This window comes from Homo sapiens, chromosome X, assembly GCF_000001405.40.
Source record: "Homo sapiens chromosome X, GRCh38.p14 Primary Assembly".
NCBI lineage: Eukaryota > Metazoa > Chordata > Mammalia > Primates > Hominidae > Homo > Homo sapiens.
Window position 1 is genome coordinate 32,294,680 of NC_000023.11, and position 26,966 is coordinate 32,321,645.

Genomic DNA, 26,966 nt, shown 5'->3' on the forward strand with positions numbered 1-26,966 from the left:
CCTTGGTGCATTCTCAGAGAATGCTGTCAAAATTGGCTGGAGTCCAGGAAATACATCCTTTTTAAAGTCCCTGCACATATTCGTGTCCTCAAGGCACTGCACACAGAAAAATGGTATGTGCACCAAAGAAAATGCTGTAGCACTTTCCATAGTTTAAAGTCAGAGATGAGATCTCTGATAGTATTTTACTATTTTAGTTTGTCTAGAAATAAGTGATCTTTATAGTTTCTGACCCTCTAAAAAGGAAGCCATAGTCCCTTGTAGTTGCTATGGCGATATAAACATCCCTAGAATCACTATAGAATATAGCATTTCTATTTCTCTCCCTGAATAGTTCCTTATCTTATCTGAAAATATGATGTCAAAATGATAAAGTACCAACTTTTTAGTCAAATCCCTTCTTAATTTTGACATGCCCCTATGAATTGACCACTTCACTATTCCGCTGAAATTCTGTAAGATGTTTATTTTTGGCCACTCTTTCTGCAAAAGGAAATTCTAAATATACATACAAATGGAATTTTAATTTCTGAAAGGCATCTGTACACGAATTTATACAACTCGAGTCCTTAATATTTTAAAATAGGATATTTGCATCTCTGATTCACAGTCTCCAATAAGTTAAAGAAGACCCTGATTATGCACTGTGAATAGAGAAAAATTAGATAGCACAGTAACTTTTACAACCGGCAGATGAAATCCAGATACCTAAAGTAAGGAAAAGCAGAAATCTATAAGCCATGTGGCTTCAATTCATTTATCTGTTTGAAAAGCTTATTGTTTAAATAAGTGTTTATTGATAATACAGACATAATATCAGCCTCAAATGTGAGATATGAAAATAAAGACTTTAAAATGTGAGTCTCTCCCTTAAGAAGATAATTGGTTTTTAAAGGAGACACATACAGAAATAATTTGAACATAAAAATGCTTTGTTTATTCAAGTGTTGTGGAGTATGTGTCTTTAACAGGATAAAAGGAGAAGCCAGAGAATACAGAAAATTTATCTAGGAAACAAACAAGGGACCTATTTGCCAACTAATCAGTTTAAGATAAAGGTATGAAGCAACCCTTAACTATGCTCCATTCTTTATCATAAGGGATAGACTTCTACTGTTTAGTTTTTCTTCCATTTAATGTAAAGTGACAACTACTCCCTTGCTGTCAAAGATTTTCATTGCAGAGCCTGCCTTTACCATCTAAATGGTAAACTTATGTGTATAAATGTCAAAGTAGATATTGCAGAACCTGAAGAGAACTAGAGTAGGGGAGAGTAATATCTGACAAATTGAACTTACTGTTAATCACTTTTGATGAAAGTAAACTTAAAATAATTTACTGAAGTTTTAAATATATTTTTGTACCTATAGCAAAGCTCGTTGCTTCCCGAATACTGTGAAAAGTGCCAAAGTTCTATTATTTAAAATAGCAGCCGGGCGCGGTGGCTCACGCCTGTAATCCCAGCACTTTGGGAGGCCGAGGTAGGTGGATCACTTTAGGACAGGAGTTCGAGACCAGCCTGACCAACATGTGAAACCCTGTCTCTACTAAAAATACAAACATTCACCAGGTGTGGCGGTGGGCGCCTGTAATCCCAGCTACTTGGGAGGCTAAGGTAGGAGAATCACTTGACCCCAGGAAGCGGAGGTTGCAGTGAGCCGAGACTGTGCCACCGCACTCCAGCCTGGGCAACAAGAGTGAAACTCTGTCTCAATAAACAATTAAACAAACAAACAAACATCACTTCCTCTGTCCCGTCTCTGTGGTCATTCAATTCAGCCATTTCTTCATCTTCAACATCCAATTACTAAATAAGGATGTCTATAATTTACAAGTGTCTTTGCTCCCTTATTTCATACCTAGAAATAAGCTCACATATACCTTCACAAATCTACAACTCTTTCCAAGATTTTAAATAATATGTCCACTGTGGGATGTATATACAAACATTAATTGGCTAATTTGTCTTCTGTTTAACAGTTTTTCCTCAGTAATAAAATTTTACATCAGAAGTTGTGAGTGTTCTCTCAGTCAAAAATTTCAATTAGAAAAAAGTCTTCAAATGAAATAAAATTTCAAATGTATAAAAGCATAAGTTAAAATATAAGATAATATGAAATTGTTGTTTCAGGGCATTTTCCCCTGAAAATGACTTCAGTATTTCGATGATATTCTGGTTTGAAATATATTGAACTTTATTTTTTAAAAGAAGTGATAAAATTGCTTTCTAATGGTTTCTCAGTTTTCATTTCTCTGAAGGACTAACATTAGCAGACAGCTGGAAGCACTTATAATTCACATTTTTAACCATATTTATTTCCTGAAGGAAATTCCTATTCACTCACTTAGTAATAGCTTCCCCATTTCATCTTTCCCTCCTTGGCAGGATTCAGTACAGTTAGGCACAGTTTTCATCATACAGACCTAGCCACACTAGTTTTAACTAGTAATACTATCTTCTAGGTTTCTCTCTCTGTGTCTGACAGCTACATCGCTGTATTCATTCATTAACTCAAGAAATATTTGTTGAAAAAACCTACCATGAGACAGTCATATTTTATTTATTTATTTATTTATTTATTTATTTATTTATTATTTATTTATTTATTTTGGAGACAGAGTCTCACTCTGTCACCCAGGCTGGAATGCAGTGGCGCAATCTCTGTTCACTGCAACCTCCACCTCCCAGGTTCAAGCAATTCTCCTGCCTCAGCCTCCCGAGTAGCTGGGATTACAGGCGCCCGCCACCATGCCCGGCTAATTTTTTGTATTTTTAGTAGAGATCGGGTTCCATTACGTTGGCCAGGCTGGTATTGAACTCCTGACCCTGTGGTCACCCGCCTTGGCCTCCCAAAGTGCTGGGATTACAGGCGTGAGCCACCGCGCCCAGCCTGAGACAGTCATATATTATATCTTGGGTATATACTAGTGATCCAGAAAGCAAAAGCCCCGCTCTCTGGAATCTCACCTTCTACAGGAGAATAAAGTAAACAAATAGAGAAATGACTAAACTATATACTCAGTTAGATAGTGGTTAAGTGCTGAGGAGCAAAACTAAAGCAGGGAAGGAAGAAATGAAGGATAAAGTGGGGGTCAGAATTTTAGGTAAGAGGGGTCGGGGAAGACCTTACCAGGAAGGCAGTTTTTAAGTAAAGATCTGAAGGAAATGCAGAAATTAACCATTGAAAGAAAAATCATGAGAATAATATTCCAGACAGGTAAAGCAAGTATAAGGGCCCTGACACTGGAATGTGCCTGGAGGAGTGGCCAAGGAACATGGAGGAAGTGATTATGGCTGGAGTGTATGAGCTAGCGACTACCAGAGAAATATCAGAGAATGGGGTGGGTAACCCATGAAGGTACTTATGAACATAAGGACTTCCCTGTTTACTTTGAGGGGGATGGGGAGCATTGGGGGTTTTGAACAGAAGCAGAAAGGGGGATATAATCTGACTTTCCATTTAAATAGGTATCTCTGGCTAGTATATTGACAGTAGAGTCTACAGGGGAGAAGGCAATGAGGGGGAAACTTGTTAATAGACAACTGCAATCATCCATGCTGGAGATGATGGTGCTTTGGATCAGAGTGGAGGCAGGGTTGAATTCCGGATACATTGTAAAGGCAGAATCCTTAGGATTTGGTGGCCAATTACATGTGTGTTGGTAGAGAAAGGCCTTAAGGATAACATGAAGAATTTTGGCACAGACAAGTGGAATAATGGAGTTGCCATTAACTATAGTGTAGAAAACTGCAGGAGGATAAGGTTAGGGTGTAAGATTTTAACATGCTAAATTTAAGATGTTTATTATACTTCTAAGTGAATATATAAAAGGCATATATATATATGTCATGATTCAGGAGAGGAATCTTGACTAGAGATATAAATTTGAGAGTCACTAGGGGTAATTTTTAATCTCTTCCAAACTTGCTCAGAAAATACTGATGTTTTGCTATATTCCCTTTCCAGACCTCTTTTCTTCCAAACCCAACCCTGTAGACAATCTTAGCCATTTCTATCACTTAAATCAAACTTTGACACAAAGGAATTTTATTTAGGGGAGGTGGGAAAGGGGATAAGAAAAATGTCAAGTTGGGAGCATAGATTCACTGCTGCTGGGGCCCAACAGAGAAGGCACCCAGCAGGAGGAGGGAGTTAGCCCTTTGATGGTTGATTCTGCTTAAGGCTACATCAAGGTGTTTTGGGGATAACAGAAATCGAAGAAGCTAGAAGAAAGTACAGGGAAAAAATTCAAGTCTACAGGTTGGTAGACAGTCAGAGACTCTTGGTTCTGTTGCCATGGTGGGATTATATACACCTTCCAGAAAACCTTTCCTTAACCAATCAGAGTATTTATTTAACTAGATAGAAATATGTATCGGGAAATCCAGTCCACATTTTGCACTAACACAGGAAAATGGGTGATCTAGGATGTTGGGCATCTCCTGAGTGAACTTTAATAATGAGAGTCCTGGTACAGCTACTGAATCAAGGGTATGGTTTATAAATCGGTCCAGCTATGCTGAACACAAATATCTCCTTACTTATTGTTTTATCTCTTTATTTTTCCTTGTGTCCAATTTATCCTGCCATTTTAAGGATTATCCCTGACCAAAATCCATCCATGATGACATATAGCTTTTTGGACACTTTCAAGCCCATCTTTTAGCCCATCTTTTTTTCCAGGAAAAAAAAGAAAAAACTGGATTCACAGTTTTTATCCAACTTGATTTCCTAGTGCTTTGCCAGCAGAGACACTTGAAAGGATAATCAAAGTGAATAACAAAGTGAAGGATTAATCTCTTTGTTATTCTTCAGACACATCCTTCTGATACAATTTTTTTTTTTTTTACCCTTACTGACTTTGTATCTTTAACTTTGAAAACATTTTCTGCATCAAGAAACTGTATAGCGTAGTGCTTAAGAGCAGAAACTCTGGAGCTTGAACATCCAGAGTGGGACTTCAACTATGATATTTAAAAATGATCTCACCTGAGCAAGTCACTTAACTGCTCAGGACCTCCGTTTCTCCATCTGAGTATGGGTATAATAATACAGCCTTCCTTGTAGGGCTGTTATGATGACCATACAAGTTACTCTAAGTGTTTAGAATGTGTCCTGGCACAAAAATAATAACTGTCAGCTATTACATTCAAGATTAGTCCAGATTCCAGTTATATTCACACCTCAAGCTAAGGATTCCTCCTCTATAAAATTCCTCCTAGTTTCTGCTTTTTGTGCTGCTTTCTTCTTTTCATGATTTCAGTTACACTCATGTCTTATATATTTTTGCTTGGATGATGTCCTTAATGTCTTTATTACTCTCTAACTTGTTTGTATAACTATAATATGTATATTCAATAATGTTATCAACTACCAGAGTACAAGGATTATTCCTTAATATTTCTTTCTTATCTTTTAGAATGTTAAGCATAGCACTTGTAGCATTAATAAATATCTGTTGACTTGAAGTAAAAAGTTGAGTTGAACTTGCTTATGAAAATCCAATTTGAATTCAATCATTGAACCTCTAAGATTTGTTACTCTGTTCAACCATTGTAGATAGATATTCAGGTATGGTCAGACGTGAGCTATTCAGGTAATTCCTTGTTTATTCTACTTTACTTTTACAAGACATTAGCTGTTGAACAGTGGAATAGAAGTCCACATGCATTTCCTGGCTGAGTTTCCTTATGGTTTCCTCACAGCACATTAGATATCTAAGAAAAAAGTCCTTTATTCAGAATTACACCTGCCCATTTCTCCAGATGCCACAGAGCATCAACAAGAACAAAAAGAACAACAAAAAAAACCCTGCACTTTACTGATCCAAGTGTTTCTCAGATAAAATGATTCTAGTCCATCAGCACTAAGTAAATTGAAAACAATTTTACCAGTCCTTTTATGATACGTACATTTTGTGTTAAGTTGTACACATCGCCTAAATCATTTTACAGAAAATCCAAATAGAAAAATTGACTCACATGCATGGCAAAGGGGGTTTTATAGAAGTAAGTACTTTTCTCTTAGTTCAAAATATATGGCATTCTATGATCCCAAATTTCTTAGAGTCAGGATACGCTTTAGTGTTGTGTGACTCAGCAGAGGAGGGCCAGGTAGGTTTTATGGAGGAAAAATTCCAAAGCAATACAACAATCCAAGAAAACCTCAAAAACTGATGATCACCAATGAATGGAATATGCTTTTTTAAAATTCATGTTATACTTTTTAATTCTATTTACATATGCAATCATGAGCATCTTATTATTTTGATAAATGAAAATTTAGTATAAATGATTAAGCAACTTCATAGGTAGCTACCATACATGATAAAATATAATCAAACCTGCAAAAATTAATATTGATGACAGTAAACTATTTTGGTAAAACAGAAAACATATTTGGTAATATTATGCCCGTTTTATATATAACTAATACTTCTGATGTTGGGGAAATGTGCTTTCCATCATATTGTTTTACACAGGGGACAGAAAAGCAAAATCGCTCTTTCATACAATTGTTCTGTACCCAAATGCATACATCTAAAAAAAAAAAAAAAAGAAAGAAAAGAAATAAACAAAAGGCATGATATGGGAGCAGGAAGCTAACACTCTACTCAATGTTTACCTTTTTGGAAGCTCCATAGATTTCCTTACTGATAACACTATTTAATTTTTGCCTGTGGTTTGGCAAATTAAATTTGGGAATTGGTGTCTGTTAATCATACGTGATTTACAACAGAAAGTTCTTGTTTTTTTTCCATCAGGATGTTTAATGATATATATTAATATTCAGAAATAAGCAGACTTGGGTACAAGTCATTGTATTAAACTATAAGATATTGCCAATATTTAAACCTTTTGAAAGACTTGACAATTCATAAGGTTCAATGGAATAGCATTATAATTTTAATATGTTCATGGTTACAAATTTAACCAGGAGAAAATAAATACAAACTAACTTTTTTAAATGGCAAAGGAAAGACAACAAAAAATAAACAACAAAAGCAAATTTCAAGACTCCAAAGCAAAAAAGAGAAAAAAACACTACTGATTAAATCATTCTTTGCTTAGAGTTTCAATATTTTTCAATAATTTTTGTCATGGTTCTGAACTCACAATTAGAACAATGGGTTTTAAGTTACTGAACTAGAAATGGAAAAAATAAATCAACACATTTCATAAAGAAACTAAAGCCCAAAATAAAACAACAATTAAAACCAAGCTAGAAAACAGCATCCTCTTCTTGGTAAAAGTTATGGTACACAGAATCTTGGAATAATTTAGAGTTGCATTTCTGCACCTCAAGATAAATATACAATAAAGTGAGTTATTTGTTTTATACCTTAAATAAATAGAAGAATAAAAAAATTACTCCTGAATAAGTAACAACTAGCCTCGGAAATACACATGGCCCCCGTCTTATAATGTTTCTACTTAGTGATTTTTCAACTTTAGGGTGGTGAGAAAGTGATATACATTCATTCGAAACCATACTTCAGTATAGTATTCACTAAATTGAATGAGATATTCAACACTTTACTATAAAATAGGTCTTGTGTTCTATGACTTTGCGCAACTGTAGGTTAACATAGGTGTTCAGAGCATGTTTAAGGTAAGCTAGGCTAAACCATGATATTTGGTGGGTTAAGTGTATTGAATGCATTTCCGCATACAAAATTCTCAACTTACAATGGGTTTATCTGGATATAACCCCATCACAAGTCAAGGAACATTCTGTACAATAGAAGAATATGATCAAAAGTTTGTAAGATCCTCTAAGGAAGATTTTGTCAAAAGCAAACGTGGCTTAGCTTGTATGTATTCTCTTATTTTAAAGTTTTTTTAGCTTTAGAATATTTGCCACATCTGGAAATAACTTTACGTATATTTTATGTGGTTAACATTTTATTTACAGTTTTTTAAGATATAAATATGCAATTTTATAATGTTTAACACATTCTTAAAGGTAATTTGTTTTTAGGATACTTTACGTGGAAATTTATAACTTTCTTAGAATTTGGGATGTTTGATGAAGCAATATGCATTTTACAAATCTTGAAATTTATATAATTATACATTTTAACAGGAATTTTCCTACACAGTCGTACATGATTTCACTGTATCTTCACAAGAGTACAGTTGAGTAGGCAGGGGCAGTTATTATCACTGATTTAATTTCAACGTTAAAAAACAGGCCTAAATATCTTATGTTACTTGCCCAAGGGTACAACTATCAACAATCAGGTTAAATCTTTCTAAGCTTTTCAGGTTCCAATACAGTACTTTGCTAAACTCTCTACTCTACTGCTTATCATAACCACATAATGAAAGCTCACTGATGTGGAAAAATGTTAGTAATGTTTTAATTATATGTGGGTTCCCTGTCACACATTTTCATAAATGATTGTTTTAGATTCAGTATATACAAACCTAGAACAATTTCTTCATGCTTATATGCATATAGATTTGTAGAATGCACATGTCTAGATGATTTAACTCAGTGAGTTAGGATACAATATAAAAAGAAGTAAATTTGGTTTTCTCTTTTAGTACCAGCGCTTACTAACACTGCCCTGTCTTCTTCTATCTCAGAGTCCACACCTACATGTATCAGACCATCACTCACTAATTCAACAGATGTACATTCAGTACCTTTAAGTGCTAGGTGCTGTTCTAGGAGTTCTAGATACAGTGGTGGAGGAAAAAAACAACAAACAAGATACTAATTTTTCTTCCTGGTGGCTGTGTGTATGTATCACCTTCTTGAAAAATGTAGCACTGCAGTTACATGGGTTATACATATACTTAAATGCATGTATAGTGTTTATAGACTTATAAAACTCTAGGCACTATTGTCGTCATATTTTGGGAAGGTGAAAATAATAGCTTTAAGCAGTTTTAGGTATCAGAAATGCCTTGAGACACTTTGTAACTTGGTTAACAGAGGAGCACATAACTTTCATTTCTAAGAAAAAAGGATTAGAAAAACCCATTAGTAACTGTTGTGACAGCGGCCGTTGGGGAGTAGATCTATCTTAAAATGGAAAAAGAGAAATAAGAGAACCAAAGACTCAAACTCCAGTTCATTTTCACTCTCTGGAATTTGTCTTTATCTGACAGATAAAGGCAACACCCTATATAAATCTAATTCTTACACTCTTCACATCCCATCCAGCTACCAGGCACTACATTAATGACATATCGAATTGGGAACTGTGTTCAATCAAAAGGCATTAAAGTACTTATTAACTAGGTTTTACGGAGCTTCCAAAAAAAGTTAAAAAGTTATTTTTGGTGGCTCTATGGTAAGGTGACCTTTTAATTTTTTCTTCATGGTTTATTGTCCCCATGTGAGAAAACACTTTCTAAACACAGCTACGTATTTGGACCAAAATATTCTTCATAGGATGATGCATTGTCTTTGCATAAATAACGAATCAGTAATTATATATCACACATAAAAAACGACATTATAACTGGTCGAAGCACAGCTTCAACCGTTTGTGAATAAAAGGAAAACCTCCCCACAACTTAACTGCAACTTCAAAATTTCTACCAGCCTCATGATTTGTAAGTTTTAATATGGAAGTTTCTGCTTTCTACACTTTACACGATGGGGATTATGAAAACAGTGCTGCTGGGAGAATGGAAGGAGTAGGAGTGCGTTCTTAAAGTACATTTTAGCAGAGTTGGGAGTAAATTGCAGCATAATAGTCAAGGTAGGACAACTGCTAGGCTTGATAAAATAATGGTTGGGGATAAAGAATGGATAATTTCCTACAAGAGAGATTTGTATAAAATATAAAAGAAAACTGTACCGAAGCACATATAAATATGAGCTGGGCATGACTGAAAGGCAGTAAATATCTATAATCTCTTCTCTATAGTACAAATCTTTTCATATAATACAAATGAAAAATAATGTACTATGGAAATAATTTAAGCATGATTTAAACTACAGTTAATGATTAATATTTGAAAATACACACATTTATATATAGCAAATCAATCAAATAAATCCCAAGTCATATAAGCTGTTGAAGAAACAAATTATATTTATAACCAAATAAATGTGTTGAAAAACTCAATTTTTCTAAGAGAAACCACTGATCACATTATTGCAAATGTTTATGTATAGTTCAAAAGATCAGTTTCTACAAAGTCACAATGTATTAATAAAAATCATCTTTTCCACGCATTAAACTGTTAGAACTATTAAACTATTAGAAAATTCAACTCGAATTCAAAAAGCATTTGCAAACAAATTTTGCTTTGAAATTTTATATGATCCATGATTATTTAGAGTAATTGCAATGTCCTCTTATTCCAATATTATTAAATACCCCTGTATTACAATATGCATATAAACAATGTAATATGCCCCTGTATTACAATACGCATATAAACAATCGTTCTTTTATTTTCCTTCAGATATTTTGTTTGGATTTCTACATATGGTGCCTCTTGCTATTATCTAATTCTCCTAATACCAGAATAGAAAAGCAGTCACTTTGCTCATGGCATAATTTTGCCTTCATTTAACTAATTGGGATTATTAAATTTGTGCTTAAGAGCTGTGAAACAGATTCCAGAGGAGAAAGATCTTAACCAGTGTATTAAAAATCTCTGTTGCCAGTACTTTTGTCCCTACTTCAAGGCAAGACTGAAGAATCGAAGACTAAAATATGAGAAGAAATCATACATCTCTCAAGGGATCTTCTGCTAGGTTTTACGAGACCAAAGTTCTAACTCAGCCCCAAGTCGGCCGAGAATGGGTTTTCATAGACACATGCTTAAGTTTCTGTATGACCAGAGAAATATATCTGCTATCTCTAATTTCAAAATATTTCCAGAATCTGACATTCTCTCACTACCGACCAAGTCCAAGCCACCAGCATCTCTTTTTCAACTCTTGTTGATTCTATTATTGGTCCCCTACAGTTCTACTCTCAACCCAGAAGCCAGTGTGATCCTTTTAAAACATGATTGAGATCATGCCACTCAACTGCTCAGAAACTTACAATTGCTCTCATCTCATTTAGAATCTTCTTTACAATGGCCCCAAAGGCCCTCCACAATCTGGACACTCACAACTCCCATATCCTCATCTCTTTCTACCCTTCCACTGGCTTGTTTTGCTTCAGCCACTTTGGCCTTCTTGTTGGTGCTTGATTAAGATAAGCTCAGTCCCACATTTGGGCCTCTACTCTATTTCCTCTACACAGACTCCATGGCTGACTCCCTTACCTTCTTCCAATCTTTGCTCAAAGGTCATTTCTACCCTATTTGAAATGGCAATTCCGCCACTTTCAATTATACCTACGTCTACCCCTGTAGTGGTCCTATATCCCCTTAACAGATTCTGGTTTTTTTTTTTTTCCCAAAATACGTATCACCTAGTAATACGCAATATTTACTTATCATTTTTCTTTGTTTGCTTGCTTCTATTCTGTCTCCCAATGTTATAATAAAAGCTGAATGAGGGCAAAGATTCGTTAGTCTTTTTCACTGTTTTATAAGCACTTAGAATAGTGTGTGGTACATACTAAGAGCTTAATAACTATTTTTGGAATATACGAATCCACATTCCTTAGGTTTACTTGTCCTAACAATTTTTTGTTTCTCAAGAGCAATGCAAAAAACCTGAACTCAAGAGGACTTGAACGACCTGGCTTCACACTATCTTTGGCTTATAAGCTCACTACCAGCTTTCCCTTGTGGTCTCGAACTTGAACAAGGGTTGTCTCTATTTCTTGATCCTATTTAAAATCTACATTAGGACCACCATGTCTCCTACCCGTGAGCTTTCTTCATATGGCCACGTTTTTCATCACCCTCTTGGTTACCCAAAGTATAGCACATTTTATTCATTCCAAACAAGGCATCTGTACTATAATTGGTTTTGATGAGACAACTGAAATGATGTGTGCCTGATATTTTTTCTTTCCTTCCATTTATTTCCTCCTTGTTTCTCTCCTTATTTTATTTCTTTTCTTCAATTCTCCCTCCCTCCTTCCCTCACTCTCTTTCTTCCTTACTTCCTCCCTTCCTTCCTCCTCCTTTCAGTGATTTGAAACTCCAGTGCAATGTGGAATATTGAAGGGATGTGGGCAGATATCCTTGTCTTGTTCATGTTCTTCAGGTGAAGACATTCTGCTCTACCATAAAGAATAATATTAGCTGTAAATTGATTCTCATTATTGCAAAAGGTAAAGCATAGTTGTCATTCTTATTATAAGCTATGTTCTTATTTTTGTCCTAAAAATTCACATTTATTGATACCAAGGCCTAATTGAACAGCTAAGGATTCCCTGAATGAGGGAGCAGCAGAATCACTTGAAGAATTCCACTCCAAAGGCATGAACTATTTCTAAGAATTTCTCTACGTAAATGCTAACTACACAGTAAATATGTCATTATTTATTTCAAAAATGTCCTAGATAGAGTTCCCCTATAAGCAGATTCGAAGACAAGGGATGTCTTTGGGAATGATCCAAGGAGGTGCTAGTAAAGTGTGTGTAAGGTAGGACAGGGAGCAAGTGAAATGTATCCTATGAGGCAGGTTTTTACTGTGTGCGATGGGGTCTTAATCCTGGAACAGAATTTTGGGTCAGAGCATAAATCATGCTTCAGAGTTACCCTAACTGAAGAATGAGTGAGTAGTGGTATTTATCCACCAAAAGTTATTTGTTATTGGTTGAGGTTTGCTGGGGAACACGGGGGATGCAGAACTTTAACTACCTGACACTCATGAGCTTTGATTACTAGAGAGAGCCCTAAGGCAAACAGTCAGAGACACTTGGATCTGGCAGCTACCAGTCAGAGTACAAGGCATGCTGAGTCAGGAAATGATATGGGTGACATCCCAAGAGTGTTTCATCCTCCAATAAAACTGATGCTTTCAGTAAAATTAGGCATATGGACACATGATGATAAATCCTTTCAGTTAAGTCTTTTAAGTGGATCATTTCTGCTTTTAGGATAAGCTTTCAAATATTTAACTCTCTCCAGAGAAAACCTTTTGGTAATTTAAAACTTACGATGCTAAGAAATTCTGTGTTCATGCTTTCATATGAGATACTTTAAGGCAGGATTTGACGGTTTAACACAGTAATTATATTTTGGAAAATTTTATCATGAAAATGATTTTTTCTTAAAAATGAAATGCAAGTTAATATTGCTCTAAACTTCCAAAAAATTGCAATTCTTCTAAAATTATGTACTCTTGTCTGTTATGAGTATTATTAACTTTGTACATATAAGCAATCACAATCAATTAACTGTTAATATTGGCTCTGAAGTAAGAAAGAAAATATTACTTATGTGTATGTTTCTCATTCTTCTCTAGCTCTGCCTTAGCTAGTGTTTTTGCTATTAAATGCAGATTTCCACATATGTATATATATATACGTATATATATATGTTTGTGTTTATCTGCATAGTCTCTGTCAACATGATTAGGTAGCTTTCCAATTCAATACATCTATTGAAACCATACGTGCTATTTTAGTTGTATTTTGTTTAGAAAGTAATTCTTTTAACATATTACATATTATTTGTGTTGTACTGCACTTTCAAAAAAGATGTATGTTAAAGCACAGCAATACTTACTATAGTTCTGTAATTTGATTCATGCATATCTGTCAGGAATAAAATCAACCACAATTTCAAACCTTCCCAACCAGCAGCTGTACAATTTATGCACTGCTTTTCCATTTTTACTACTGGATAATGACAATGATGAATGCCTTTAACAGGAAATACATATTCACTGAAAAGACTGAGCTCAAAACTATCCCCCTTCAAAAAAGTCAATGAAGGTAGGAAGCCCATTCACCTGCTGGAGATTTGTTGGGAGACAGAAGGAATCATGCCCACAACTGTATCTTATGGGGATTCAACCATTTAGCTAAATTAAATCTACAATAATACCATATTATAAACCGCAGTAATCAATACTATTACGATTGACATCAGCTATAATAATATTAAATAGATCAGGATGAACAAATGATTCACTGTGAGTGTAGCCAAGGGTCTAACATTCTGAGTATGCCAGGCTAAGAGGTATGGAGACAGAGTTATTCAATGGGCAACTTAATAAGATCAGGGTCACTACTCTCCTGAACCAAATGTCCATGAACCTGGGAAGGAATGGATATTAGCTCATTGGCAATAATTTACTTATTGAATGACAATGATGCACTTACAAACTATGCTGCCATGAGAACTTAGTTAATAGAAATAATGACAGGAATTCTGGCATGTCAGCTTTATTTTATTAACTGATTAGGTTTCTTTTCTTCATTGTACCAATAAGTGATTTGACTTTTACTTCAAACAGAATAAGAAACAGTGCCACACTGACATGGATGGAATAGTTCCAGAGATCTGTGAAGCTCTTATTTTACTGTGTAATTTTATAGCTTATTTGATATAATGTTAAGATATTAAAGTCAAGTCACTGAAGATACTGCAACACCGATTTCCAAAACAAACAAATAGCTTTATCCATTTGTATATTCATACAGGCAAATGTGTGATATAGAATGAGCTTCCAGGAAACCATTTGAGTATAAAATACTTTAGCTAATATGTGCTGCTGATAGCAAACCCATCTTTTGCCTATAATCACATACTGTTTGCATTTGAAAATACCAAGCTCTGGGTATACTATAATATTTCATTTTGAGTGTAAAATGTACGATCATGAAAATTATCTGGAGACACATTATTATGTGCATTTTCTTGATCCTACATTCATTTATCTTCAGACACTGCCTTCTGAAATTCATAGCCTATTTCATCATCATTATTTGCCTTACTTGAGAATTTAGTAACTTGCTGTTGGTGGTTTGAAAACAGCTGGATTTTGTTGGTAGCCTTTAACTGGCAGTTATAAAGAAAATATTTTATTGATTTCTATTCAATTTTATTCCATATGTTATAGCACAGGTATTGACATTAATTTGAAATTGAATATGTATACATAAAAAATATAAAACAAAAACAATATACATTACATATAAATGAAAAATCTAATTTCCCTTTTTGGAAAATGAAACAGAAGTCATCCATTAACTAGGAATAAACTGTTCTTCCATCAAAGTTTATTTACTGGTGGTTCCTTTCTGTCCCTACTGCATGTAAAAATGATCATTTTTGTGCATTTCTTCATTTTAGGATGTCTCTCAAAGCTAAATATTGTAAAATACATTTTCTAACTTATGTCTTTCTACCCTAGATTTCTGAAGCCAACCACACTATCAAGTATTTTTAAGAATTCCATGTGAAAGTCAAAATGCCATCATGATGCATACAATTTAAGTCAATTGTTCTGGCACTATGAATGATCAGTATGATCACCTTGTAAAATACGAATGAAAGTGCTTTGGTTTTACCTTCAGAGACTCCTCTTGCTTAAAGAGATCTTCAAAGTCCTTAGCACAGAGGTCAGGAGCATTGAGAAGTTGTTCCACTTCTAATAGGGCTTGTGAGACATGAGTGATTTCAGTCAAATAAGTAGAAGGCACATAAGAAATTTCCAAAGGCATGTCTTCAGTCATCACCATCATCGTTTCTTCACGGACAGTGTGCTGGTATAGATATACAAAAGAACAATTTTTTTTAGCTTCCTAACAGTGAAACCTCCTCCATTAAGTTTATATAGGTCTCATTCTACAGCTGACAATTGAATCTACAAACTGGGCTGAAAATGGATTCAAAACCTCACGATGGTAAGTCTAGTAAAACGGTGATTTATTAATTATATACCTACTTTTTCCAGAAAGTGTTAAAAGCATTTCATAATAAGTGACACACACATATTAGCACCATAAATATAAGACGAAAGACCATGAGGTCATAAGGAGAGTAGTTTTATCCTAAGAAAAAGACGATTTTTGCAACCGGCATTTAAATTTCTAATTCTAATTTGCAACTGGCATTTAAAATTCTAATTTTCCTGGAAATCTAGATATGGGATTGGGTGAGGGGGACTCATATCTGTTTTATTCCTAACACAGGCAACTTTCCTGTATCTATAGGAAAGTTCACTGAGATACAACAGATACGAAGTAGTTAGGCTGGTATGTAACTTTGTATTAAGCCCTCTTCTCCTCCAAATTCTAGACATTAGCTCCTGTTTTTGTTGCTAGTCTCTTGCTAAGTTAAGCTGCTAATGAAGCTGCTATATGAGCAGAACTGACTGCGGAATTTATATTTTAAAAAGAACTCCAGAATGTCCTGATATATAAGGGAGCACTAGCCTCTTCTCTTGCACCTACACTTTTCTGACTGGGATCCAAGTGCTAGACATGATGAGAATTTCCAGCTCCAGAGTCCTTTTGGAGTTTCCCAGTAATACATCTTTCCCTATTCTTTATAAGAGCAAAAAATAAATACTACTTGGCAGGCAAATTCAGAAAGATGGATGACCTGTGCTCTCTTCTGTCTACACTATAGGCAGCAAAATTCTTGTAATTGAAATTATTCTCCCAATAACTTTGTCTAGAATTGATCAACTGCCACCTGCCTGTTGATGAGGTCACCTGAGGGTTTCAGTGGTAGGGTCTCTGGGGAAGTACAAACGATAAGCATGCTAACGTAGCCATTTATTACTGCACAGCCTTTTATGACAACACCATACTTATTTTTGCAGTAATGTAATACATTGGACTTTGGGGATACTAGACTGAACCCCACACAAAGAGGAGTAAAATTTACAAGCTGGTCACTTTATGTTTTGTTTTTAATTTCTCTGACCTAGGATTTTCATACTCAATTCTTACATGATATAAAAAATGAAGTAATTCTAATTTAGATATCTCATCTACTTGTGATATAGCAAATTCACAGAATTGCACAAATTAGCTATTAAATAATTATACCTTTTACAACATTTGTTTTATTGTGTATATCTGGGCCAAATCCATGGCACACATTCCTTCATGTTCAATGGAATAATGTATATATATTTCTCATTTACATTTAAAAGGATATTAGAAACTTGAGCCAGAGTTTGATAAATAAAATTCAGAATTTAACAGATTTCTTAAGAAATTCTTAATTTCACTATTTCATCATAAGCATTTTACACATTTAAAAGAAAAATAACTCAGCAGGCTATTTGAATGTGAAATTTTCACTGACACATTAAACAGTAGAATCAATAGCACAAGTAACACAAGCTTGTGTTTTGCACGCATTACATTGGTTGGTGACCATTATGTTGTTCTTAATAAAATTTACAAGTTAATAAGCTCGTCTTTCTTATTCACGTTAGTTGCTATAACCCCTGCAGTAAAGATAGCTTCACATCATCTAAAGCAAGCGTATTTCTTATAATACTTATTTAATGGTGCAATTAAATCTGCCTTTAATGATACATTTTACACCTGTAAGTTTTTGGAAAACAAAGGTTTTTGTTATCAGGAACAGAGTAAGTAGAAGACAAGTTGTAGTTTTTCATTTATTTATTAATTTGTTTTGTTGTTTAATCAAGGGAGTTGTTTCAGAATTGGACATATCTTGAAAATATTTAGAAAAAAATCTGGGTGGCCTTAACAAAAGCAGTGGGAATTCAGAAAAGTTTTGATGCATGTCCTCATCACTTTTTCTTAAAAGAAAAATAATTCTAAGATGTTTTTATCTATTTTCTGATTCTTCTTTGATATGTAGTTTTCTCAGTCTTCATTACTTTCATTTGAGATGCTCTCAGCTATCTTAAATTCATATTGGTGCTTAATAAATATAGTAATTGTGGATTATAGCCAGCAAGAAACTTAGCTGTATGGTCAAATATAATGAAGAAAAAGACACTCAAAATATACTCACTTTTGTCTGCTAACTTGTATTTAACTTCCTTAAATGAAATTTCAAACCCAAATTTTGACTATTTTGGTATTTGCAGAAAGGAACGTTAAATAAAAATGAGATTTGCCAATGAATCCAGGAGCTGGTCTTTTGAAAAGATTAACAAAATAGATAGACCACTAGCCAGACTAATAAAGAAGAAAAGAGAAAAGAATCAAAGAGGCACAATAAAAAATGATAAAGGGGATATCACCACCGATCCCACAGAAATACAAACTACCATCAGAGAATACTATCAACACCTCTACGCAAATAAACTAGAAAATCTAGAAAAAATGGATAAATTCCTGGACACATACACCCTCCCAAGACTAAACCAGGAAGAAGTTGAATCCCTGAATAGACCAATAACAAGTTCTGAAATTGAGGCAGTAATAGCCTACGAACCAAAAAAAAAAAAAAAAAAAAAAGCCCAGGACCAGACGGATTCACAGCTGAATTCTACCAGAGATACAAAGAGGAGCTGGTACCATTCCCTCTAAAACTATTCCAAGCAATACAAAAGAAAATAAATTCTTCCCTAACTCTTTTTATGAGGCCAGCAGCATCCTGATACCAAAACCTGGCAAAGACACAACAAAAAAGAAAATCCTCAATAAAATACTGGCAAACCAAATCCAGTAGCACATTAAAAAGCATATCCATCACAATCAAGTAGGCTTCATCCCTGGGATGCAAAGCTGGTTCAACATACGCAAATCAATAAATGTAACCCATCACATAAACAGAACCAATGACCAAAAAAACCACATGATTATCTCAATAGATGCAGAAAAGGTCTTGGATAAATTCAACACCCTTTCATGTTAAAAACACTCAATAAACTAGTTATTGATGGGACAAATCTCAAAATATTAAGAGCTATTTATGACAAACCCACAGCCAGTATCATACTGAATGGGCAAAAGCTAGAAGCATTCCCTTTGAAAACTGGCACAAGACAAGGATGCCCTCTCTCACCACTCCTATTCAACATAGTATTGGAAGTCCTGGCCAGGGCAATCAGGCAAGAGAAAGAAAGAAAGATATTCAAATAGGAAGAGAGGAAGTCAAATTATCTCTGTTTGCAGATGACATGATTGTATATTTAGAAAACCCCATCGTCTCAGCCCAAAAACTCTTTAAGCTGATAAGCAACTTCAGCAAAGTCTCAGGATACAAAATCAACGTGCAAAAATCACAAGCATTCCTATAAACCAATAACAGACAGAGAGCCAAATAATGAGAGAACTCCCATTAAAAATTGCTACAAAGAGAATAAAATACCTAGGAATACAACTTGCAAGGGATGTGAAGGGCCTCTTCAAGGAGAACTACAAACCACTGCTCAAGGAAATAAGAGAGGACCCAAACAAATGGAAAAACATTCCATGCTTATGGAAAGGAAGAATCAATAACATGAAAATGGCCATAGCGCCCAAAGTAATTTATAGATTCAATGCTACTCCCATCAAGCTACCATTGACTTTCTTCACAGAATTAGAACAAACTACTTTACATTTCATATGGAACCAAAAAAGGGCCCATATAGCCAAGAAAATCCTAAGCAAGAATAACAAAGCTGGAGGCATCACGCTACCTGACTTCAAACTATACTATAATGCTACAGTAACCAAAACAGATTATACTGATAGCAAAACAGATATATAGACCAACGGAACAGAACAGAGGCCTCAGAAATATCACCACACATCTACAACCATCTGATCTTTGACAAACCTGACAAAAACAAGCAATGTGGAAAAGATTCCCTATTTAATAAATGGTGTCGGGAAAACTGGCTGGCCATATGCAGAAAACGGAAACTAGACCCCTTTCTTACACCTTATACAAAAATTAACTCATGATGGATTAAAGACTTAAACCTAAGACCTGAAACCATAAAAACTCTAGAAGAAAACCTAGGCAATACCATTCAGGATACAGGCATGGGCAAAGACTTCATGACTAAAACACCAAAAGCAACAGCAACAAAAGCCAAAATTGACAAATGGGATCTAATTAAACTGAAGAGCACAGCAAAAGACCCTATCATGAGAGTCAACAGGCAACCTACAGAATGAGAGAAAACTTTTGCAATCTATCCATCTGACAAAGGGCTATTATCCAGAATCTATAAGGAACTTAAACAAATTTACAAGAAAAAAAAGACCCCATCAGAAAGTGGGCAAAGGATATGAACAGACACTTCGCAAAAGAAGACATTTACGCGGCCAACAAACATAAGAAAAAAACCTCATCATCACTGGTCATTAGAGAAATGCAAGTCAAAACCACAACGAGATAGCATCTCACACCAGTTAGAATGGCGATCATTAAAAAGTCAGGAAACAACTGATGCTGGAGAAGATGTGGAGAAATAGGAACTCTTTTACACTGTTGGTGGGAGTGTAAATTAGTTCCACCATTGTGGAAGACAGTGTGCAGATTCCTCAAGGATCTAGAACCAGAAATACCATTTGACCCAGCAATCCCATTACTGGATATATACCCAAAGGATTATAAATCATCCTACTATAAAGACACATGCACACGTATGTTTATTGCAGCACTGTTCACAATAGCAAAGAATTGCAACCAACCCAAATGCCCACCAGTGATAGACTGGATAAAGAAAATTGACACATATACACCATGGGACACTATGCAGCCATAAAAAAGAATGAGTTCGTGTCCTTTGCAGGAACATGGATGAAACTAGAAACCGTCATTCTCAGCAAACTAACACAGGAACAGAAAACCAAACACTGCATGTTCTCACTGATAATGGGAGTTGAACAATGAAAACATATGGCCGCAGGGGCCTGTTGGCGGGTGGGGGGCAAGGGGAGGGATAGCATTAGGAGAAATACCTAATGTAGATGACAGGTTGATGGGTGCAGCAAACCACCACGGAACATGTATACCTATGCAACAAACCTGCACGTTCTGTACATGTATCCCAGAACTTAAGTATAATTAAAAAAAAAAAGAAAAAATCATTCAGTGACACTGGATAAAATAAAAATTAGATTCACTTAGAAAATAATAATTCGTGCTCTCAGACCAGAATTCTGTGTCTCAGCAAATAAGATCCAGTGTTAATCATAGTCCTAAACCAGGGCTTAAAGAATGTAGGCAGCACACCATACCCTGGCTTCTCATCTGTTAAGCTTCTCTCCACCTGACCCCATGTGTCTACCATAGATTATTATATACCGATTTAACAAATATTCTTCAGAACATTAAACTAAAAACCATTTTCACCTATCTTTCAAAGAAAATCTCTTTTAGAAGAGTGTTATGTGGCATCTATTTAAATTGCCAATTTTTCTGGTAATCATCCTTTTACTCTCTGTACAAGAGTTCAATTTTTAAGAAAATTTTAGATACCTAAGTGACAAATAATTGTAATTCTGTATCTGGTTCTAGAAATCATTTTTTACAAACTTTTAAATAATGAAGAAGCTCTTATTAACCTGATCGAAATACTCTTAAAAGAAATATTAGCCATTGAACTGCAGGTTGAGAATGCTCTAATAATATGCATATTGTGATTATTTTCAAGATTGTCACAAATAAGCCATAGAGCAACCAGTGTCAATACATGGAAATAATCCCTACATGCTCAGCCATGGCATGAACACATTTTCTAGAACACTTAGAAATATTAAAATTCTTATGGTTGAACATAATCAATAAAAAGGTATAGTTTATTACTTTAGAAAAATCTGAATGAGAAAAATCATTTCTATCCTCAACTACTGATAATTAAGTAATCTTTCAAAAATTTTTCTTTCCATTATAAAGATAAATTAGAATACCTGTAATTTCTAAGATGCTTCTCATTACAATTACCTATGGGCAACAGTTCAGCTATACGTTATAAAGTCTAAAAGGTTAATGTTATACTTTAAATATATTTAATGAAGACGGATCTATTGAAAGATTTACTATCTTGATACGTAGTGTCCAGTCATCACAGATAACAGACACTAAGTGGTACAGATCAGCTGACTAGAGAAAACTAAGGGTTGATCCTGTGAACTTTCTTGAGAAATAGAAATATTCCAAAATAACTTTTTGACACCACTGGGAAACTGTGAACTCATTTTCTAGAAAATTCCGTGTTATTAAGTTTGAATATTCTCATTTATTATAGCAATCTGATATATACAATAATGTTTAATATATAGACTTTTTTGTAATTTTCATATACAAGAAACTACCAGAAATTGAATCAAAAGAGAACCAGACATTTGGAGATCTAGTTTGCTATCTATTCCTTAAAAGTATAGCATTCCTATTGACACAGTCATGCGAATCTATAATGAGAAAACTACATCCATTGAATGACTTTCAGTTTGGTTTAATAAAAATTTCAGACAGTTATTTAAAAATCAGTGTAATTAGAAATATCATGTTCATTTTCTCTTCTTTATGCAAAATCCAGGTACTCATTCAGATTAATCCTTTTCATTTGAATTTCATTAACTCTGCCTTGAATAATTTTATCCTTCTGAGTTCTGATGTGTACAAATCCCGTCTAACCTTTTGAAAATCAACTTGCTTTTGTTAATGTTCTTTACCACCTTATATCATTATAGATACTCATGCATCATTAGCAAGGAAATGCTATAATCTGATTAATTCATTTTATTTCTTTGTGTTTATTTTCATTTTTAACCATATATACCCCAAAGAATATACTAGCCTCATTTTCTAGAAACAAAAAGATATGTGAAAGAAACCATAAAATGCCTATTTTTATTTAAAAATGAAAAGTTCGATCAATGCTTAATGACTATTATAGAACACAATTATGATTTGTATGATCTAAACTTAAAGTCAAAACAGTTTTAAGATTCTGAGCTGTGTAAATAGGCACAGGTATCACTCACAAAGTTTTGAATACATTTTCATTCATCTGAAACTTAAGTTATCACATTCTTTTCATTACATAAAATTTGTTTCTTGAAGGGCCATAACTGCAAAGGATAAAAGCAATCCTGTTTTGAAACAAATGGTGCATTATGTCTAGGTTTTTAAACAAAATGTTTTCCTCCATGATTTAAAAGACTTCTTTCTCCTTTAAATGCATTGAGGTTACTGGCCCATTTATGAGTTATGAGGTCAAAGAAACTCAAGAAGAAAAATGTGCTATATGACATATGATTATGACATATGCCACAAAATAACTATATATCTCATATAAATATGGCACATGAAAAATATATCAATGCATCAAAAGTGTAACAAAAATAGACTATTATCTTGACCAAAAACAGTAAAATAGTGATGGAGCCTTTTTTTTTTTAACTGCGTTGGTGTTAATGAAGATGAAAATAAGCAAATCCTCAAAGTAAGATTTATTAATGATTTAGTGTGAGCTATAATATGAAAATCTATGAGCCATAATATGAAAGTATGTCAGTTTGTATCTGATTATCTTTCCTCAAAGGGACATTCTTAAATATTATGGATTATTTAAAAGTAATAACACAATGATATGTAAATCCAAAATAGGACTGCAGGCTTTAAGTAGGTTCTGATGGGTCATAAATGAAAAGGCAATGGGAAAGACTTAAGTCTTAGACAAGTAGCTCTGTCTCTTAGCCCCACAAGTCTTCAGAGAAAGACAAGTTTCCTTCTAGGAATCATTACAGTAATAAACAAAGTTGAGAGATTTTTTATTTATTTCTCCTGGACAATTATAATAGGCATTGTAAGCATAAAAATGCAAATCACAAACAAATTAGGCAAAAATATTGTATTGGTCCAGGGTGATTAAAAAACCCCAAACAATAAAGCATAAAAACAAAACAACATGATGCAGGTGAGACGGGTATGGTTTTAATCTGCGTTGTCACTGTTTTGGATACATATAATGGCATGACAATAACAGCATTCTGACAGTACTTCGTTTTGTCTGTTTTAGTCAAGTCACTGGGTAGAAAGATGTTGAATAATCAATCTAATGAGTCTAAGCATATTGGTTATGACCGTGCATAGAAAAAATAGCAATGAGAGAGTGTTTGCTCTTATGTGATTTCCCCCTTCCTATTGCATCATCTAAAAAATTGCTTATGTGAAGCTATGTAACCAAAAAAAGGGCCTGTCCATCTCAGAATAATTATTCAGAATCAATGAACAATTTACCCCCTTTGTTTAAAAAGAATAAAACTCACTAACATACACAAAATAGTCAAGGTAAAATATGAAAGAAAATCATCCTTTATGCCCATATTATTTATTTTCTAAAGTTAGAATTAATTTTTAAAGCAGGGCAGGCTGTCAGCGAAAAAGATATGCAGATGATGCTGGATTTGCCAGTCTTTAAATACACCCTGCTTCTAGAAGGCCAGGTATAAATAGTGTCCTATGTAAAAGGTCTGGACAGACCTGCTCATTGACCTGCCTCATGTGGATTCTGACTTTCTACACCATGAAATTTACCTAATTCCTCAGGGCCAAGCTCAATTACTATCAAATTAAGCTGATAAACTGAATCTGGAAAATGTGTTAATGGCTTATAGTGGTTTAAAGTCTTTCGTTTCAAAGGACAACATTTGCATTTTTATACAGATTTTCAAAGAATTAACATAAATTAGTAACTTGATAAAATTTTAGTCACTAAGTATGGCCTGTGAGAGAAGAGAAAGAAAAGGGCTTTGGTTGCCACCAAGATAAGTATCAACACATAAGCAGCAATATATAAGCACCAACAATCATGGCCTGCTTTGTAAAACCATCTCCAAAAAATAACCTATAAATTAATAGATAAGGTTATACACCCTAGCCAACTTATAAGGCAGCAAAAAATAAATGCAGCAAAGACTCATGCCTAGTACCTAGCATACAGTATGTTATCAAAAATATTTGTTGGATAAATTAATGAAAAAACAAGTATCAACTTAACAGGATAATTATAAGATAGATATGTGGTTACAATTGCTGGGATTTACATTTATAATTTATATTTAGGAATATTCAGAATTCAAACAGGAATATTTTCTTCATTTTATAATGCAATCTTTATTGTCATAGATTTAAAAGGTATATCTGATTTCACTATGTCGCATTTCTTCAATTCATAGCACATTAGCTACATGCTATTGTACATGCGTGCTTAGGTCCTTAAATTGTCTTTTAGTTACTAATCTGACTCATTATACTTGAATACAAACATAAGCAATTATTTGAGGTAATGACATATAGACGATATTAAGATATACTGATTTTAGCTTCTTCATGGGTATCATAATGTCTATTAGCAAATTGAAGGGTATGAGAAGACTTGTATTCAAAAAATCATTTTAACCTTTGATAACTCTTCCCAAACTCTTCTCATAAAAGTTTTCGTTTACATATCTAGTATATATTTTTTATTTTAAGCTATTCCAAAATTTCAGCTTGGGAATACTTGCTATAGCAATCTTTTTGTATGTTGACAAGCAAATCGAACCCTCCCTCCACCTCACACACATACTTATACTTAATTCAGTGTGAAAATAAAAGTAACACAAGAAAAAATAAGTATGGAAAGACCTTAAATACTGCAGTTATATTTCACCCTCCTATATCGCTTTTAACTTCTGTTGCCTTGTGGATCTGTCAACTTGAGTAGATTTTTCAGAATAAACTCACACTTTTATTTCTATATTACATTTGTCACACCCCTCAGAAAATGTGGACACTATCTCTAGATTAATGCGGCAACTCAGTATCTATGTCTAAATATGCATGTGTCATAATTATGTTTTTCAAGGAAGTATTCTCTTCATTAGAAATGCGAGTGATAGTAAAGATGCATATAATTACACTATCCCGTATGGTAGTCATTAGCTACACTTGACGAAAGAAATGTAAATCTAAATTATTTAAAAGCAAATACAATTAAAAACTTAGTACATCTGTTTTTACTAGCCATGTTTTAAGTTCTCAGTAGCCTCAATAGCTACTTTATTGGACAGTGTAGATATAGAACATTGCCATCATCTCAGAAAGTTCTATAGGACAGTGCTAATCTAGAGAATGACAATACATTTTATTTATAGAAAAGGTTAATACCAAAGTATGTTCTGTAATCGTTTTTTATTCTACTCAGTCTCTGTCCAAAGGGCTGTCTAGTACTTAATGTGGTTAAAGTTACCTAATGAGCACTCAATTAATATTCTTTTATAATGGCAATCATACAAGAAAGAAAGATTTGTTTCTTTTTCAAATTGCTTATTAAAATATAACAATGTGTTCTATTTTAAATAATGTGAAAACTAAGATTATATGAATAATTCTAATGCTGGTATTATATCTATCAGAAAATACTTGTAGCCTAGTTTTTTCACAAAGGTAATTTAGACAGGCTACTAAATCCAAACTAAAATGTCACAAGGTGAAAACTCAACTAATTTGTTATTATTCTATATCCAATTGATTTTACTGAATTGCTAATACACTGTATTTTGTTTTCAGGTAGACACAGCCTAAATCTGTAAGTAATCTCACTCAACTCTGAAGATAATTAATTTAAAAACCTATTATTGTGAATTATACATAATTTGCATTATTTATATGGTCAAAGCTTATTAATTATATATATGCACATGTATGTATGTACGTGTCTGTGCAAATACAGACACACAAAATAGAAATGTTGAGAATGGGTAAATCACATCGTAGATATGTTTTCTGTTTCACTTTGAACTGAGTCCATGCAACGTCAAGATAATCACAACTAACTGCTACAATTTAGAAGAATATATGTATCAGGACCTCAAATTATGGAAAAAAAAATTGCAGGTGAAGAGAGAATGATGATGAACTGGTGATATTTCAAAGTTATGTGTATCTTGGCACGATCTGAGACAGAAATGATGGATCTGATGGTTTTCAAGTATATATGTGGAATGATCTGTTGGAGACCATTGATTTAAGGAGATCTGTTTGACTTAAGAAGGGGGTCAGTACCTGCTAGTTTGTTTCATGCAGGCATTACTGGAGAGTGGCTGTACTACATGGTTGAGGACAGCCTTACTTCCACCCCTTGTCCATGAGATCAGAGATGTTTTCCCATATGTAAATTTTGTGAATAGGTTTCAGCTTGTTAAATAAT

The 26,966-nt window shown here is 34.0% G+C and overlaps 1 protein-coding gene across 17 annotated transcripts in view; it reads right to left on the reverse strand.

The window, feature by feature from the left end:
• Positions 1-26,966, reverse strand: part of DMD (dystrophin) — a 2,220,167-nt gene that overhangs the window by 1,175,458 nt on the left and 1,017,743 nt on the right. For all 17 annotated transcript variants that reach the window (XM_006724469.4, NM_000109.4, XM_011545467.2 and 14 more), the window contains 1 exon segment: positions 15,403-15,597. In XM_006724469.4, the coding sequence (XP_006724532.1) occupies positions 15,403-15,597 (195 nt within the window).